The sequence below is a fragment of the Homo sapiens genome, chromosome 2, assembly GCF_000001405.40.
Source record: "Homo sapiens chromosome 2, GRCh38.p14 Primary Assembly".
NCBI lineage: Eukaryota > Metazoa > Chordata > Mammalia > Primates > Hominidae > Homo > Homo sapiens.
This window is the reverse complement of record NC_000002.12, coordinates 120,936,515-120,954,429: the sequence shown is the minus strand read 5'-3', so window position 1 is coordinate 120,954,429 and position 17,915 is coordinate 120,936,515. Positions and strand designations below refer to the sequence as shown.

At 53.7% G+C, this 17,915-nt stretch overlaps 1 protein-coding gene across 8 annotated transcripts in view, besides 2 other annotated features; it reads right to left on the bottom strand.

The window, feature by feature from the left end:
• GLI2 (GLI family zinc finger 2) overlaps positions 1 to 17,915 on the bottom strand; it is a 256,786-nt gene that overhangs the window by 38,224 nt on the left and 200,647 nt on the right. For all 8 annotated transcript variants that reach the window (NM_001371271.1, NM_001374353.1, NM_001374354.1 and 5 more), the window contains one exon: positions 2,985 to 3,187. In NM_001371271.1, the coding sequence (NP_001358200.1) occupies positions 2,985 to 3,187 (203 nt within the window). The remainder of the gene's footprint in view (positions 1 to 2,984; positions 3,188 to 17,915) is intronic.
• Positions 10,103 to 10,689: an enhancer, noted in NCBI's record as "H3K4me1 hESC enhancer chr2:121701317-121701903 (GRCh37/hg19 assembly coordinates)". NCBI's record gives its function as "activates a minimal SCP1, AML or CMV promoter by ChIP-STARR-seq in naive H9 embryonic stem cells {active_cell/tissue: H9 hESC(naive)}" and the evidence as "EXISTENCE:reporter gene assay evidence [ECO:0000049][PMID:30033119]".
• Positions 10,690 to 11,278: an enhancer, noted in NCBI's record as "H3K4me1 hESC enhancer chr2:121700728-121701316 (GRCh37/hg19 assembly coordinates)". NCBI's record gives its function as "activates a minimal SCP1, AML or CMV promoter by ChIP-STARR-seq in naive H9 embryonic stem cells {active_cell/tissue: H9 hESC(naive)}" and the evidence as "EXISTENCE:reporter gene assay evidence [ECO:0000049][PMID:30033119]".

The following is a 17,915-nucleotide window of genomic DNA, read 5'->3' as shown; positions in this document are numbered from 1 at the left end:
TCCTCCTCTGCCTCCTTCTTGCCATCTCCTGCTGCATCTCCCAAGAGTCCGGGCCTCCAGCCAGGCTGATCGCCCACAGCCTCTGCCTCCCCTGTCCATGCCTCAAGTTCCCTCCCCTACTCCTTCCTGCCTACCCACCTTCCCTCAAAACCTTCCGTGGAGATCCCATTTGTCCCCAGTCACACATGGTCTGGCCAACACTGCCTCGGATCGCTGATGAGCTTCCTAACCTCACATGGCAGGCTCTGGGGCTGATACCGAGCAGGGCACACAGGACTCGAATTCAGACCTCCTGCCAGCTGCTCTTGAGCCTAATCTGCCATCCTTGGTCACTTAGTAGCCCAAGGGCTGATGAGGCCTTGGCGTATCTGGTCTACTTCCTGTGGGAGTCAGGGCCATGCAAATTAGCCAGGTCCCTGCTATGTCGTGGGGCTGTAAGCGGGTACGTGGGTGTTCCAGGAGCTACCTCAGTGTTTATCTTGAACTCATGCATAGCATGGCACTCCATCCGTCGAAGGCCTCTCCTCCAGGGGCAGCTCTGTCTCACCACCCCCAGCTCCTTTTTAAAATTTTTTTTTAGAGACAGGATCTCACTCTGTTGCCCAGGCTGAAGTGCAGTGGTGCGATCCTAGCTCACTGCAGGCTTGAAGTCCTGGGCTCAAGCGATCCTCCCACCTGGCCTCCGAAAATCCAATTACAGGCATGAGCCACTGTGCCCAGCCCACCCAGCTCTTCATGGGCTACACTGCAATCAGTGGAATACAGCGTCTCTGCTTCCTGAGCATCTCCAGGAGGGTGCTCTGTTCCTTCCTCCCGTAGACGTCTTTACTGGCCCTCTGGCCCTGGCCCTGGGAGAGCAGCCAGGTTCCTTCCACCTCTTCACTGGAAGCCCTGTTACCATGTGTATTAGTTTCCCAGGGCAAATGCTGTAACAGATCAGCATAAACTTTGTGTTAACTGTTGTTAAAACAACAGAACTTTATTCTCTCACAGTTCTGGAGGCCAGAAATCTGAAATTAAGGTGCTGGCAGGGCCGCACTCCCTCCAGAGGCTCAAGGGGAAGATGGTTTCCCGCCTCTTCCAGTTTCTGTTGGCTGCCAGCTTCCTGCTTGTGGCCATATTACTCCCATCTGTGCCTCTGACTTCACATAGCCTTCTCCTCTGTGACTCTGTGTGTGTCTCTGGGCGGGCATGAATGTGTCTGCCTTCTCAGTGTGTCTCTTGTAAGGACACCTGTTATTGGATTTAGGGCCTGTGTGGATAATCTGGGATGATCTCTTCAGCTTAAGAGACCTAACTTAATGACATCTGCAAAGACTGCTTTTCCAAATGAGGGAATACCCACAGGTTTGGGGATTAGGATATGGACCTGTGTTTTGGGGGGCACCCCTCAGCTGCCATACTAGGTGTGACCATCAACCCGTTGTTCAGGAGTAGTAGGAAGGAACGCCAGCCTGGTCACTGTCCGAGGGAACCAAGGCTGGGGAGTTGACAGTGTTAGTGTGAGCCAGGCAGACTCTGGAACCTGACCTGTGTCCTCTCACTCTTGGTCAGCCCATCATGGGCTGGGCATGGTGGCTCACACCTATAATCCCAGCACTGGGACCTCAGGAGTGATGTGGATAGGGCTGGGCCCACTGTCCAACAAGACAGCAGCTGGGCATAGAGGCAGCACAGGCCTCAGGGCACCCCAGCTTGGTCAAGGCCACACAGGGGACGCACGCAGAGTTCAGGGCTGAGTTCTGACTTGAGGGGCCATTTCAGAATGGTGTCACATTCCAGCTAGCCATTTTCAAGCCCCCTGGCTACAACTATTTGCCTTGTTTGGTTTCTCTTTTGTGAGGACCAGGCAAAGTGCAAACCTCCGTGCCAGGAAGATGAGTCAACGATTCAGGGAGCCCTTCTGCACATTTGAAAACTGGATGCCTCCTTTTCATCGTGCAATCCCAGCCTGCACATTCTCAGAGCCAGGCCTCCGCTTCAACTCGTGGTCACACCCACCAGTTGGAAGAGGATGCATTCCTCTCGGGGAGAATGCTGGTAGTGATAAGAGACTCGCTGGGACCCCATTTCCTAGAGCCTCTGCCCATGGGGCTCTGAAGTTCAAGTTGCAGATGTCCTCTAGCCTGAGAGGTCAAGTCTTAGCTTCGTGAATTCTGAGAAGTTGCACTTGGCTGCTTTCAAGGATGGGGACAATGAGTGGCTAACAGCGCTCTCAGGGGCGGCACGGGGCCATGCCATGCTATGGATGGGGGTGCACTTCCCAGGGAGACGGCATGGTGGGACTGGCCCCTAAATGTCCGGGTTACTAATATGTGTTTGCATGTGTCTGTTGGTGGGGTGGGTGGGGACTAGAAGTGTAAAACTTTAGATCTGCTTTATACATATAAAGACATATTTGTACCATGTGACCCTGCCCTTTTCTGGCTGAAATTAGTCACACCGGGGTGGCCATCTGATCTCTGAGCCGGGCCAATCAATGTTCTCTCTCAGGCATCTGAACACAATGCCACAGCTTCATCCCCGGAGCCCCAGGGCCTGGGCTGCCACTTGGAGGCCTCCTGCGTTAACCTGCAAGGGGCAGATCCAACAGAGACGCAGGCAGCAGCCAGCCCACTCCGCCTTCCTTCTGCATGAGACACTCCAACACAACATCCCCTTTCCTAACACCAGCTTCTGCAGGCTTTGGTTGGTTACAACCAGTGGTTCTCAGCTACACAGGACCTACCTGGATAGACCCTTACTGTTATTATTACAATAGATCATATATGGTTTGCATGCAAAAGAGTGCTTACCAAAGGCTCTTTAATGAGCATAAAACCCAAAAACTTGTTGTTTGGAAGTAGTGTGAAGGAACGCCAGCCAGCCTGGTCACCATTCAAGGGGACCAAGGCTGAGGAGTTGACAGTGTTAGCGTGAGAGAGGCTGGCTGCGCCCTGCCCCAGTGCCCTAGCTGCCCCTCCCCATCCCCACACCCTACTCACCATCAGCGGGGCTGAGGCCCCTGGCTGCAGAGATCATGGAGAGCGTGGGGCTGCTGTGCACAGAACGGAGGTAGTGCTCCATGTGGGGGTTCACGTACGGGTGGGGGGCGTTGAAGGGGGACTCCCCAGGGCCAGCCGGGTGCGGGGAAAGCCGGATCAAGGAGATGTCAGAGATGACAGGGCTGCCGCTGAGGGCAGGGGGCCTGCAGAGACAATGGGCAGCCGTCTAAGAAGGAGGACACAGAGGGAACCCCACCAAGACCCCAAAACCAACATGGACAGTCCTTGTCTCTCCTGGAAAGACTTTCCAGAACAACCTGCACTTATTATTTGCTACACCGACATTCCCCTGGTCATCTGTGAATTACAGTCTGAACTCTCAAGCATTAGTCAGTGAATGCAGAGTGAAAGCTCCACGCTGGTGCGTGCACCCGCCGGCCAGTTCCACGCTGGAGAATGGACCTCGCACCCGCGACTGGACTTGCTGGAGCACACGCACAGCAGGCCGCCCACACGTCACAGTTGCACTGTGGCTTCCCCAGTGCCTCCTCGGGGCTAGGCACAGGCTTGCATGCTAGAAACATGTATGAAAACGAATATGAAAATACGAATACCACGGGTAAAACGCAAAGAGCTCATACTGCTAACAGGATATGTGAAAAAGAGAGGGATCAGGAGATGTCCTGCAAGTGGAGAGTTTCTGGCTTCAGTTGGATGGTTGGTTGCTGGTGTGACCAGCTCGGCCGCAGGGTCAGGATTCAAGGCAAGTTTTGAAATTGATGAGCCCTAACTAAAATCTTGGAATATCTCCTCGTTCTCCTTCCATGGAATTCCTCCTAGCGCTAACAGAACCACCCTTCTCAGATGCCCCAATAGTCAGGTGTGCATTGGGCTTGGTGCCGCTGGCTTGGGCTGGCATGGCCAGGGCCCACCCCCATGTCCCCAAGTCCGCCCACCAAGAGTCATGGAATCCATTCGATGTGACCTCAGGCCCTTATGTCAGGCCTGCTGACCTGGGGCCTCTATGCAGCTGCAGGTGTATTTTGAGGTAATCTACTCCAAAACTCACTCATTAAAGATGAATCAGACTTTATGGTGAAGCAGCTGCAAAACCACAGCTAAGTCACCAGGAACCACATTTACCAAGATTTCATTTTTATTCTTTAGTCTATAATTTGACATTGTGCAAAGAAAAGAGAGTGTGTTAGAATCAGACAAACCTGGGTTAGAATCCCAGCCACATCACACTGTAACCTCTCCGAGCCTCAGTTTCCTCATCTGTGGAATGGGGATCATAATAGTGTCTGTTTCATAGGGTTGTCGTGAGGATGAAAGTCCCCAAAACTGTGCCAGAGACATGGCAGGCAGTCATGAAAGGAGAACTGCTGTTAGAGGGTTAGAACCACACTTTGAGGGCTAACCTAGCATTGCCCGGGAGGCCCTCCCAATCTTCACACTGGATTGATGCTGGACGTGTGAAAGGCCACTGCTGGAACTGGTTATTTCAGGGAGGAAATGATTTGTCTGTTGGCTGAGCAAACCAGAGATAATTACTGATCATGCTCAATAGTGCATGAAAACTGGGCTTACAGTACAGTACAAACCAGGACCCAAACAGGTGACATCCAGATGTCCTCACATCTGGGTTTCACAAACACCCCCCTGGGAGGCCGCTGTGCCAGGCCTGGAGGGAGTCTTCCGCAGTTTGGTTGTCTAGCTTCAGCAGACGTGACTGCCCTGCTCATGTAGATCCCACGAACCTGCTTCTGCCTTTTTGCCTACACCAATCCTTGGCCTCCAATGCCTTCCTGCACCCTATACTGTGGTGGCAAACTCCTTCTCATCCCTGTCAGCCCAGCAGGTGGCACCCTCCCTGAAGCCCCTTCTCTTGGCTCAGGATCCCTTCTCTCTGCTCCCCAAGGGTGCACTGTTCCAGGCTCAAGCTGACAGGTGCATCTGCCAGGTTCCCAGGCTCTGCCTGGGAGCAGGGCATGTCCGAGGCTCTTCTGCATGCTCAGCACTTGGCATGGAACTGGCGTCATGCAGGTGCTCAGAGGTACCTTCAGAATCAGTGACAGCCACATGTCTGTGTGCCAGCCACTGAGCTCAATGGGAGGGAGACTGTGGAATAAGTCACAAGTCACAACCTCAAGACGTTCTCACTCACAGCCTGCCTGTAGAGGTGGGTGCCTCTGCATGGGAACTGCATGAAATGCGGAGGGCTTAACAGATAGCTTTAGCCTAGGCGGGGGCTGCTATGTGTGCCCGGGAGAGGAGAAGTGGGACCAGACTAATGCACCCCTGGACAAGGGCAGGTCCTGTGGGCTCCAGCCTGTGACTGCAGCAGGATGACACTCACATCCTGCCACGGGATGGGTGGGTTGTGAAGAGAAGGCTCTGAGACAACATCACGCCTCTATGGCTCCTGGGGGCAGACCTGGGCTGAAGGATACAAGTTCTGGAAGGCTGAGTGTGGCTCAGCAAAATGCAGGGTGTCTACAGGCTGAGAGAATAGCTAAGGTGCCTTCTGTCCTGACTTCTCGGTCCTCCCCAGACACTCCAGGCACGGCAGGTTCCCAGAGCCTGCAGGATGCCGGCCAGGGTTTGAGGTCACAGTAGCCTGTAATCAGATGCCGGTGGCCCTACGTGGCTTGTTCAGGTCCCGGGAATGCCAGCCTCCCTGGCACCAGGGTTGCCCTGTGGGGTGTGCCAACCACAGCTGAGGCCCCCTGCGATAGCCATTGATCACGTGGGGATTTCAAGCTACATGGTGAGGCCACACAGCAGGCCCAGTCTGTCCAAGGTGACCCAGGTCCCACTGGCCAGGTGAGCCTCCCCTGAGAGGCCCGGAGTGAGGTGTTGTCACAGCCACATGCACACCACTGTCTGGGGCTGCCATGGAGGCAGCTGGGCCTGGAGATGGCAGGTGGGGCCTGGGTCACACATGGAGGAGCTGGGACTTCCGCCTCCACGGTGCAGTTGCCACCATTTGGGGAAGGTAGACTCCACCTCCCCCTTCCCACCGCAAGCATCACCAAGGGAGTCAGGAGCCCAGGGGTAGCCCAGGGCAGCCTTTTCCTCTCTCAGGCCCTGGGCTCTGTAGGGACATCCAGGGGTCTCTGCAGGGATGCCTGGACTATATCCTCATGGCAGCCCCCATGAAGTAAGCACCGGCTGTGTGCCCCTCAGGAGGGTATGGAAAAATGGAACCAACCACTGCACTTGACCACGAGCACACTGCATCCAGACAGGGGAGTCATTCTCCATGCTGTGCGGCCAGTGAGAGGCAAGCAGGAGCTCCCTCCAGCGGGCCTCACTCCCAGGCTGGGACTCCCTCATCGAGGCACTACCCGCCCCATCACAGCACTGCTGTCCAGGACTGACTGTTCCCTTGGTGTGACCAGACAGAAAGCTGGAAGATGCCACTATCCTACCCCAGAACAGATTCTATCAGGGGCAGTGGAGAGACAGGCCAGCCTCCACAACAGGTCCAACTCAAGGGTACGGAGCAACCCTTGCTCTTCCCCTGTGCCAGGGAAGGCTGCAGTGCCGGGCCTGAAGAGGGGGATGTGAGCCACAGAGCCATCCCCCGGAGGCAGATACAAATGCTCTCGGGATGCAGCAAGGTGGGGCAGGATGCTGCACCTGGCACTGCCTGTCCCTTCAAGGGCACTGGCTTCCTAATCCTTCCCGCTTGGCTGTGTAGCCTCAGCCAGAATGCTGCTCCTCTCTGGTGCCTCACCAGGGTGGTGTGAAATGACCAGGGCCGGGCACCTGGTAGGGGGTTTATATGCATTAACTCCCTTTCCTTCTCTCCTCAGCAACAAGCCAATTTGGAATATAGAGTGTCTGCTGGCCTGGAAACCCAGGGCACACAATACCAGAGACAGGCCCACTGGCCATCGTAGCCATCAATGACTGTCTAGACACTTCCTCCAGGAAGCCTTCCGAGATGTCTCTTTTGCACAGGGCCAGTGAGATCACAGCCGTGCTCTTACCTGGTATCTCCCCAGGGTAGGGCTGACTGTGTGCCAGCCATCGGTGGGGCACATGCACATATTTTCTTTGTGAATTCAAATAAAACATTCACAACACAGGCACTTTATGCCCATCTTGTGGATGGGAACATCCCCAGATAGGCTAGGTCCCTTGGCCAAGGGTGCCCAGATAGCAGGTGGTAGAACCACAACCAACCCAGGTGGGGCTGGGCTGGAGCCCCTGCCTGTGCCCTGGCAGGGAAGTGGGCGTTCTTGATGACACTGGTTGGTGGTAAGCAGGGCTCAGGGTGTGGACAGGATAAGGGAGGGGGCAGTACCTGAGGGCAGGAGAGCTTTCTCCCCACCGTTTCAGCTTCTTCTCTGTCTCTGGTCCCCACCCCACCCCTACCAGGTCATCACATACAATCCCACCCTACTCTGGGTAGGGAGCTGGAACCCCCCAACCCCACTATGTTGTGATGACCGCTAAGGATCCAGGGGCACACATGTTCCCAGAGATGGTCATTTTGACAGACTAAACACAGCCAGAGGAATGGGCCAGAGCTGGCAGAACTGCCAGCATCACACAGGCATGTGGGGCCTGAGGGCGCTTCCCAGCAGCCCTGAAACACGCCAGCATTGCCAAACCACACAGCAGGTCCTTCAGGGTCCAGTGCCCCTCTTTCTTGGACACTTGCCCCCATCCCAGGCCCCAGCTGAGGGTCTCATGATACCTCAGTGTTGCCAGCGCCAGTGAGCAGACGATTGAGCCATGGAGACTTCACCAGGAAAGGCGACTACTGGTGAAGTCTGAACCACCACTTCAGGCTGACCCCAGCAGCAACCTCCCTTTCTTCTTCCATTTCCACACTGCTGTACTGCAGGGGCCCGGCCTTGGTGTGAGCCACGGCCATCCAGTCCTTGAATTCCGACAGCTAGGCAGAGACTCAAAGAGACGCCCTTCAGGATGGGAGGAGGAGCTGGCTGCATGAGCTCAATTTAAAAGATGGTCACAGTCTCCTACATCACAGATACACATGTGCACACCCTCACACACTCCCATGGCACAATCAACCAGTGGCACAGCCAGCCCTTCTGCAGGCCGCTCAGCTCAGTACACTGCCCCTATGCATTGCCTTCTCCCCTCAGTCCAGCTCAGAGCTCGTCTGAGCCTGATCTGACCAGTTGTTCCTTCTTACATTTCTTCACGCTCCCAACAGGGCTGTGCCTAGGGACCTGTAGGCAGCTCAGAGCCCAGGGGGAAAGAGGCAGACCCATGAAATCAGGTAATTACCAGGCAGTATGATAAGGGCTCCAGCAGAGGAGTGATTCTCTAACTCTGCCTGGAAGTGTGCAGGAAGGCTTCTCAGAGAAGGTGACATTAGGGCTGGGTCTTGAGGGATGAATAGGAGTTCACGAGGTAGTGCATTACCAACAAAGGAAGCAGTGTGTGCAAAGAAAGGCTGGAGCACAAAGCTGTGTGTGTGTGTGTGTGTGTGTGTGTGTGTGTGAGAAGGTTATGCCTGAGGGGCAGGGCACAGCCCACAGAGTGCTTTGGGCTGGGTCTATATTGAACCCACTTCCTTTCTGCTGCTCTGGGCAGGGGACACATGACCTGAGCCCAGGTGATCAATGTATTCCATATTGCTAGTACTGTGATCGGTTCAAAGATAGGCATGTGCCCAACACAGCAGCTTTGGCTAGAGTCTTTGGTTCTCTCTGTCCGCAAGGGTTGCTGAGCTCGTAGGGTGCAAGCGTGGGGCTGCTGGAGGCCATGCAGGGGAGAGCCCAAGAAGGAAGATGATACAGAGAACATCAGAGCTGAGAGAGGATGAGCCAGTTTCTTGACTTGAGTCCCTCTGTCTAAAGCTAGTATCCTTGGCCTTCTCAGTTATGTGAGCTAAGACATTTCTTGACCCACACAGCTTCCCACTGCCCAGAATGATCCTGGGCCTGGCACCCTGCAAGGCAGACCCCAGCCATAAGTGCTCGGGCCTGTCCATCCACCCACCTGCAGAACAGGAGAGGGTCCCTGGACATCCTGCCCACAGTGGCCGAGGCTGGAGGGTGCAGCTGGGCATGTCCTTCTGTGTCTGGGCATGAGGCACAAGCAGGGGACTCTGGGTAAGTAGGACAACCAACCAAAGCCCCTTTTCCTCGTGTGTGTGTGTTTGTGTGTGTGTGTGCTGTGCACATGTTAGCGACCAGCGGCAGCAGCAACAAGGAGCAGGAGCCCGGCCTCACGGCTGACTCCGCTGCAGTGGAGGACGCCTATGCTTCTTCCCGATGTTGGTTCTGGCCTGCTGACTGTGATTGGGTCCTTGCCCCAGGAGGCTGCAGGCAGTGCCAGGAAAGGCCTCTCCTTAGCAGGATCCTTCCTCTTCCCTCTTTCCCTCCCTCCCTAGTGGGAGATCCCTGGCAAAGCCCTTGGATGGGATTTCAGGACCAGGCCCAAGGGTCAGCATGGTGGTTAGGGGAAGTAAGAAAGAATGGAAGTAAGGAAGAGGGGAAAAGGGAGAATGGATAAAGTAAACTGAGGTGTCACTGCATGGCTGCTGTGTTAACTCTGTGGCTGCTGCCACAGGGATGCTGCTGCTGCTGACAAAGTCGTCAGCATTTGCAGAACGCCTACTACGTGCAATACATCCAGCAAGCCTGCAAGGCAGATTTCATTATCTCCATTTTACAGACCAGGAAACTGAGACTCAAGGAAGTCATGTGACTTGCCCACGGTTGCAGAGCTGGAGGTGGCCGAGTGGGAGTAGAAGGCCAGCCTCTCTGCCCCTGTGAAGTTGGATTGGGCACTGACATGTCTAATGGTCCACCCAGATGCAGGCTCGTGCTGGCTCCACCCTCGCTGTCTCAGTTCTCGAGAAGGTTGGCTTGGTGGTCCCCTGGCAGGCCTAATTTCAGCTGATCCCCAAGGTGACTCTGGGGCAGTGCAGACTGAGGGGGCCACCCCCACTGATAAGCAGAATCTGGACTCTGAAGTCACAGATCTAGGTCTGAATCATGGCTTTGGTGCTGTTGCAGCCTCAGTGCTATGTGCCCTGAGCCTCAGGATCCCTTGCCTGCAGGTGGGGCAGCTGTGAGGTAGGATGAGCCAAGCATGGAAAGCATGCAGTGTAGCACCAGGCACTTAGTAGGTGCTCAATTAGTGCTCACCCCGCTCATCTAGCAGATGAGCAAATGGAAGCAGCTCAGAGAGTGCAGCAGACCCAGGCCACACCTTTCGGCATCAAATCCCAGGACCCTTCCCCATCTGCTGCCATGAGATTTTTGGTGGGAGATAAAAGGTCAAGGTAATGAGCACTCTGCACAGCCATGTGTAACTCAGCATGCAGCTGGCTGGGCCTAAGCGAGCATGCCAGACCCTCGGAGTGGGTGCTGTCCCTGGGAGTGAGAATGATGGGGGATGTGTACCTGGACGGTGTGTAGCTTCTGCCTGAGAAACAAGTAAGACTTTGAGGGCTGGGGAGGAGAAAGGAGGGCATCTGGCCTGAGCACCGCCTGAGCCAAGGTGTGGGGGCAAGAACCGGCATGTTCCTTAAGGTGTGAGAGAAAGGGAAGGAAGTGCAGGGATTGGGGCCCCCACACCCCAGCCTCGGTGCCTGCTTGGAGAAGCTGAACAATGTGGAGCTGAGGGCTGCTGACTCACCCAGACTCAGCACCAGCCATCAGGGCGGGCTGTCCCACTCGGGGGTTGGAGTCAGAGGAGAAGCCCACCCTTGGCATGCCAGAGATGGCTTTGCTCCAAGATCTGTGCTGGTGGCTGGGGCCAGACACAGGCAGGAACAGCTCCTTCATGTCCCATTTAACAGACAGCACTGCTGAGTCCCAAAGCACCAGGGGCATGGCCACAGTGAGGCCAGCGGCAGCAGCGGGTGGGAACACAGGCACCCGGATGCCCCCAGACTGGTCCAACAGCTGTTGCTGATGAAGAGAAAAGGAGGCCCAGTCACTTGGGGATATGAGCCTACAAATCTCACCACCTGCCTGCTTCTCAGGGTGACTTATGACCTCAGTGGCAGCAGGCGAGGGGCCACAATCCCATGTGGCCAGGGCCTGCCTCTCCCCTCTGTGTCCTGTATGCCACTCTCTGGTCCTTGGCCATGCTTGCCTCTCACAGCTTTGCCCTTTGATGTCTGCACCTCCAGTCATGCCCTTCCCCTCTTCATCCCTTCCCCCAGTTAACTCCTGTTCTCCTCCCAGAGGTGCCAGCTCAGGGACCTCTCACCCAAGGTGCCCCCTAGCCCCAGGTCAAGGTCAGGATCCTCCTACGGTGCTTCTGTGTTAGGTGGCTCCTTCCTCTGACCTGAGCACGTCCATCTCAGCTGATGACCAGATATCCTCAGCTGTGAGCTCACAGGCCTCCTGTCTCCTGTATCCGTTTCTGTTCATACGCTGGCCCTGCACCTGGCTCCGCACATGCCAGGGACATACAGCATGCTCAAATACGTGTGTGCTGAATGAATGAATGAATGAATGAGTGAGTGAGGGCGTGAACGAATGAATGAATGAGTGAGTGAGGGTGTGAACGAATGAATGAATGAGTGAGTGAGGGTGTGAACGAATGAGTGAATGAATGAATGAATGAATGAATGAAAGAGGGCGTGAACGAATGAATGAATGAATGAGTGAGGGCGTGAACGAATGAGTGAATGAATGAATGAATAAAGCAGGGAGCGTGTCCAGGGAAGAGCACAGACACTACTGCAGAAGACATGGGTCCCGGCTCACCTCAGCTCACTCCTGCCTGGGAGCACGTATGTGCCGTCTCTGAACAGTTACGACAGTGATCTTACAAATCTGTTGTGAGGAGCAGAGGGAAGGCACGTGGGGGGCTCATGAGATCTCCCAGAGATATGTCCATGTTCTATCCCCGGAACCTGTGAACAAGAACTTACTGGGAAAAGGGATTTGACAGATGTGATTAAGACAAGGATTTGGAGATGAGGAGATTATGGGTTACCTGAGTGGGCCCTACATGCCATCATGGGGTCTTTAGACAGCAGAGTAAGATCTGAGACACAGAAGATGAGATGGCCATGCGACAGGGAGACAGAGACTACAGGGAAATGGCCAGGAGCCAAGGAAAGTTGGCAGCACCAGAAGCTGGGAAAGGCAAGGACAGAGTCTCCCCTGGGGGTCTCTGAGGGTGCACAGCCCTGGTGACACCTCGATCTTGTTCCAGTGATACTGATTTTGGACTTCTGACCTCTGAAACCGAGAGAACATATTTCTATTGTTTGAAGCCACTGAGTTCGTGGTACCGTGTTACAGCAGCCCCAGGAAATGAACTCGTCATGGAAAGCATGTTGCATTGGCCTAGAGTTGGCCCTAGGGAGGTGGCAGACATCACCGTCACTAGTGCCATCGTTCTTCTGAGACTAAACTCTTAGCAGGGCTCCTATTTATTGCTCGGAATAACCAGGTTCCAGTAGATGCTCCCTTTGAGGCAGGCTGGCAGGGTAGGGGAACTCCTGTGCTGGGTGGAGGAAGGTGTCTGAGTCCTGCGTTCCCATCCCCATGTGCACAGGGCTGTGGAGCGGGCTTTCCCCCCTGCCGCCTGGATTTCATGGTCACTGACTCCCCATAGCCAGAATCCACCCAGCACACAGCCCCAGCATGCCATTTCCTCCTGCCTCGGAACCGCTGGCTTGTGTACACCAGCCCTGCCTTTGGGCCAAGATGCCTACCACCCACCAGGATCACAGGGCCATGGGTGGGTCCACGGAGCTCCAGAGTGGAGACACTGGGACCTTTTTGCTGTTGCGGAGCTGCTCAGGACCAGGTGCCCACTTCCTCAGAAATGCTGGGCAGGCGTCCTCTGGGCCCACTGACCTGCTGGAAAGGAAGCTGGAGTCCCCAAAGCTTGCCCTGCATCTCTTCCTCCCCAAACTGGAACTTCTTACTGCCAGGACAGGGCGTGCATGTGTCTGCTCTCCCAGGGCCTCCCTGGAGAGCAAGGCCAGCTCCTGCCACCCTCGGCTCTACCGACAAATAGAAACAGAGCTCCAGAACGCTCCTCTGGATGGAATTCAATCTCCTCCCCAGGGTTTTCGTTTGTTGGTTTGAGTTTTGTTGTTTGGTTTTGTAGGTGAAACTGTACACTGGCAAGCTTGCTTACCATGTTTCCCATACATTTGTTTTAAAAAGTTCTAGAAATCAAGTCCTTTCCAAAATGTACTAAGGGGATTTGCATTTTTTAAGAGCCATACAGCAAATTCTTTTGGAAAACAATGGAGAACTGTCCCTTCCTCAAACTGAAGCGCAGTCCATGTCTTTTATCAATCTGCACTCTCCTGTGTGTCTGGTGGCAGTCTGTCCTCATGGGGAGGCTCTGTGTACGGGAGCTGAGGCCGCAGTTTGCAGACATTCATTGCTGATCTGTGTCTGCGTCCACACGTCACTCCCCCGGATCAGCTGATGTTTACTGAGCATGGGCCTCTGATGGCACTGATGGTGGGGAGCTGGGGGTCTGAGGCCGACTTGGCCAGGGCCCCACATGCACCCAGGTAGTGAGGGAGCAGGTGTGGGGAGCTGGGGTTCTGAGACAGACCCGGCCAGGGCCCCGCATGCACCCAGGTAGTGAGGGGGCAGGTGGCTGCAAACCTGACTGACAAGTGCTATGCCCCACATTCCCAAGGTCTACTCTGAATCCACAAGTGCACAGATCTCAGCAGACCCCCTGAGTGCCCATGAAGCCATGGTGATGGTAAGACAGGGTGCTGCTGCTTGGCAGGCATTCCCAAGACCAGTTACGAGCTCAGGAAATCACAGGCCCTCAATCCCATAGTTCACACTGGTGCTTTGGCCGAATCACCATGCCAGGACCTCTGGGGTCACAGAGAGAGAATGGACACTGACTATAGCCTTCTAACAGTATACAAGGTGCTGGAGCAGGAAGAGGGGTGGGAGGAAAATAATTCACCCACTCTGTTGGTGCAATCTGAGAGGGCTTCCTGCAGGAGGTGGCATCTGAACTGTGCCCAGACTCTTATAAGAGAATGGAATGGAGGTGGTGAGTAGTATAGGCCTGGTGTTCTGAGATGGGAGAATAGCTGAATAAGGACATGTTGTATTGGGGAACAACCACTATAGTCCAGAGGCTGAAGGTCTGACCAGACATCTGGGTGGGAGGAGAACATGCAGGGAAAAACATAGTAGAAATGTCGGTAACCTACCTGAGCTATTTTACAATGGGAACTTCTCTTCACCCAAACCTGCCATCAAGGCAGTGAAGAGACCAGGCACGAACTGGGAGAGGATATTCACAACACATGTTGCTAACCACATAATGAGTAACCTTAGTGTGCAAAATACTTATTCAAATAATGGGAAAAAGACGACCTCATAGAAAAATGGGCAAAATAGCCCAACAGACATTTCCCAAGAAGGAAACATTAGTGGCCCATAAGCATGTGAAAGAACACTCAAGGTTCATTAGCAATAAGGGAAACAGAAAATTAGAATCACAGAAAAGAGCCATTTTGGCAAAAATTAAAATGTAGAGGCCATCACCTCCAAAGTGATGGGGCAAGGATATCACAAGGATACAGGGCAAGGCCAGCTCTCAAACTCTGCTGGTGGGAGTGAGTGTTAGCAAAACCAGCGGGCGAAGTCTGGCAATGTCTAGGAGGGTGAGAACATGAATCCACTGTGACTCAGCATTTCCATTCCCAGACATGCATTTACCTTAAATAACCCCGCACTTGGGGCCCAGAGGATGGTATAAAAGTGTTTCTGCAGTCATGTTCAAATTAGCAAAAACAGACACATCCCAAATGCCAGTCAACATAGACTGCTTCGGAGCAGCCCAAATGAATGAAGAGCCCTACACATTAGCAGGAAAATCTTCGGAAGAACGTGGAGTATGAAAGCAAGTTCCCGAAGAATACCTCTGCAATGATTCCATGTATATAAAGCATGACAAAGCAAAACGAATTAATACATTGTTAGGGGAGTCAGACACAAGGTAAAACCGTCATAAGATGTGAGGGGTGATAAACTCTGAATCCCAAAGAATGGTGGGATGGGGAGGACCTGAGGCAGGAGATTGGGGAGCACACGGGACCTCAAAGGTGCTGGCATGTCCTCAGTCCTTAGAGTGAGCAGGGGATAAGGGTGTATATGTCATAATTACTCAGATATCTTAAACATGCTTTTGTTGTTCTTTTTTTTTTTCTGAGATGGAGTTTCGCTCTTGCCCAGGCTGGAGTGCAATGGCGCCATCTCAGCTCACTGCAACTTCCGCCTCCTAGGTTCAAGTGATTCTTCTGCCTCAGCCTCCCCAGTAGCTGGGATTACAGGTGCCCACCACCACGCCTGGCTAATTTTTGTATTTTTAGTAGAGACGGGGTTTCGCCATGTTGGCCAGGCTGGTCTCGAACTTCCGACCTCAGGTGATCCCCCTGCCTCGGCCTCCCAAAGTGCTGGGATTATAGGCGTAAGCCACCACACCTGGCCACTTTTGTTGTTCTTTTGCATGTTTTCAATAATCAATAAGACCAATTTTTTTTTTAAAAGGATGGCTGGGTAGAAGTAGTCTCTGGTTTAAGTTGGCTGAGTGGATAGGGATTCCGGGAGCAGGACGGCTACAGGGCTGGCGCTGGTGGGGAACTCAGGGCTGGTGGTGGTGGTGAATGTGTGTGACTGCTGGAAATCATCTGAGGCTCAGTCGTCTACATGATCACTCCATGGGCCCTCTTGGCCACAACATCTATCTGTTGTCCAGGCTCCCTCCAGGCCAGCCCTAGCCCCGTCTGCAGCAAACACGCATCCCATATATGCGACCTGCACTCACCCCGTTCCCATCAAAGACCCGGACACCACACCAGACCTGGCCAGCTTTCAGCTGTCACTCCCTATGCAGAGCTGTAATAAAGAAATCACCGTTTTCAGTTGACAAAGAGCAGATTTCTTACTAAGTAAACACTGATGTTTTGGTAGGGAAATTAAGTTATAAAATTGTGCCTACAAAGGAGGCAATACAGATGGACTTGGTTGCAATCTAGCCACGTGGTCCACAACAGTTGATTCATGCACTCACCCTTTATCAGTTTTCCCCTGGGAGCAGAATAAGAAGGTTATCAGTTTTTGCAAACAGAAAACCCAAAAAGCATAAAAGATAAGGGGATTATCAGGGAGACGTTTTTCCTAGCAAAGTGAAGACATTGGTGGAGCAGGGTAGGGAGGGGAGGAGTGAGGTGTGGGGCCTGTTGGAAGCCTTGGGTTTACTCCTTCTGTGCAGTGGAACCAGGAATGTGTCTGGGTCCGGGGAGGAGGCCCTGGGGGAGTCGGTCCTGCTTAGGCCCTCTCCAGGTGAACTGCACCACTGACCTCCGAGTACAGGGGGACTTTGTCTGTAATAGAAGCTGCCATGGGCTGAGCACTGCTGAACCAAATCTTCCAGAAAGTCAAGGGTTTAAAGCCATGGGCGGGAATAAGGAAATAGGAGATAAGATGTGCAGTCTTGGGAGTGGGGTTTGTGGGGAGCGGCCTTCGTTAGTGGGAGAGATTTCATTATATTTCACTGGAGGCCTGGGTTTTAGTGATGAGAAAGGGCCTGGGTGGCCGGCGGGCTGGATAGAAACTCCTCCACAGTGAGATTCTTAAACTCTGGCCCAGCCTGCCAAAGTGGTGTGTGGAATTTCCTTTCCTGGATGCCTGTCAAAACTAGCTGGAGAATCCTGAGCAGCTCACATATATCTCTTCTTCGAGGTGGGTGTGCTGCTGATTTTTACCAAGCCTTCATGAGTATGTGCTTTGAAAAGATTCCCCTCCTTAGTGGCACTGGTGTCTGCCTGGAAGTGGAGGCCCCTCATTGGAACAGGGCAACCTGAAGAAGGTGGTAGGGCCCCCAGTGGGTGGGGTTGGGGAAAGGCTGGGACGTGGGGGGAGGCCTTCATGCGTCCCCGCTGATAAGCGCTTTCTGTTCCTGTATTCCTGGTGCTCTGGGCTTCCCATACCCCCTCTTCCAGCATACCACCCTGTCATTGGCCAATTTCTGCCCTCTCCCCAACCAGATCATGGGGTCTATGTGGGCAGCAAGACTGTGCCTCCTGGAGGTAGAAGGGGCATGTAGTTTGAGAAATTAGTGGGTGCAATGCACACTATTCAGGTGATAGATACTCTAAAAGTCCTGACTTCACTGCTACAAAATCTATGCATGTCACAAAATTGGACTTGCACCCCATAAATTTATACAAATAAAAATTCTATTAAAAAAGACTGTGCCTCCTTGGGCCCGTATCCCCAGTGCCTGGCATGAGGCTGGCACACATGGTCCCTGGGTGAGTGTCCTCAGAGGAACGAGCATTAAGAACATTCCCCACTGAGTTAAGCAACTCTGAACTCTTGCTACTTTGTTTGGGCAGCACAGGCCAAGTGTACATTTCAGAGGTGCAGTCCTTGGAAGGAGGGGATGGAGGGATGGGGCTCCTGACATGTCCAGCGTACTTTTTGACGGGCACCAGACATACCATCAGTGCTGGCTGCAGTGACAGAGGCTTGAGGGCAGCAGCAATTTCTGACCTTTTTAAGCAGTGCCTCAGGGGCAGGGCACTGCTCACATTTTCCCTCAGCAACACCTTGACTCGGGCTGGCAGGAGTGGCCTCAAGTGACAGCACTTGGGATACAATAAATCCAGCAACAATGAGTTTGGCTGAATAAATGAATGCATCTGGCAGTGGCGTCAGCTTCCACCGAGTGGACAGTCTGAACATGTGCAGTCTAAGAGGACTCCCCACCTCAAAGGCCAATCCACCCCACCAATGCCTGAAACTTTACTGTTAGTGATTAATTCCTTTGGGTTGATTACTGTTCTGTTTCCATGTCTGCAGACAGAAACAACACACTGCAGCCCTGAGAACCATGGCGAGACTCTCTTTCCTCTCTGAGGACAATCACGGCATAGGGAAGAGCTCTGGCTTGGTGAGATCTCACAAGCTG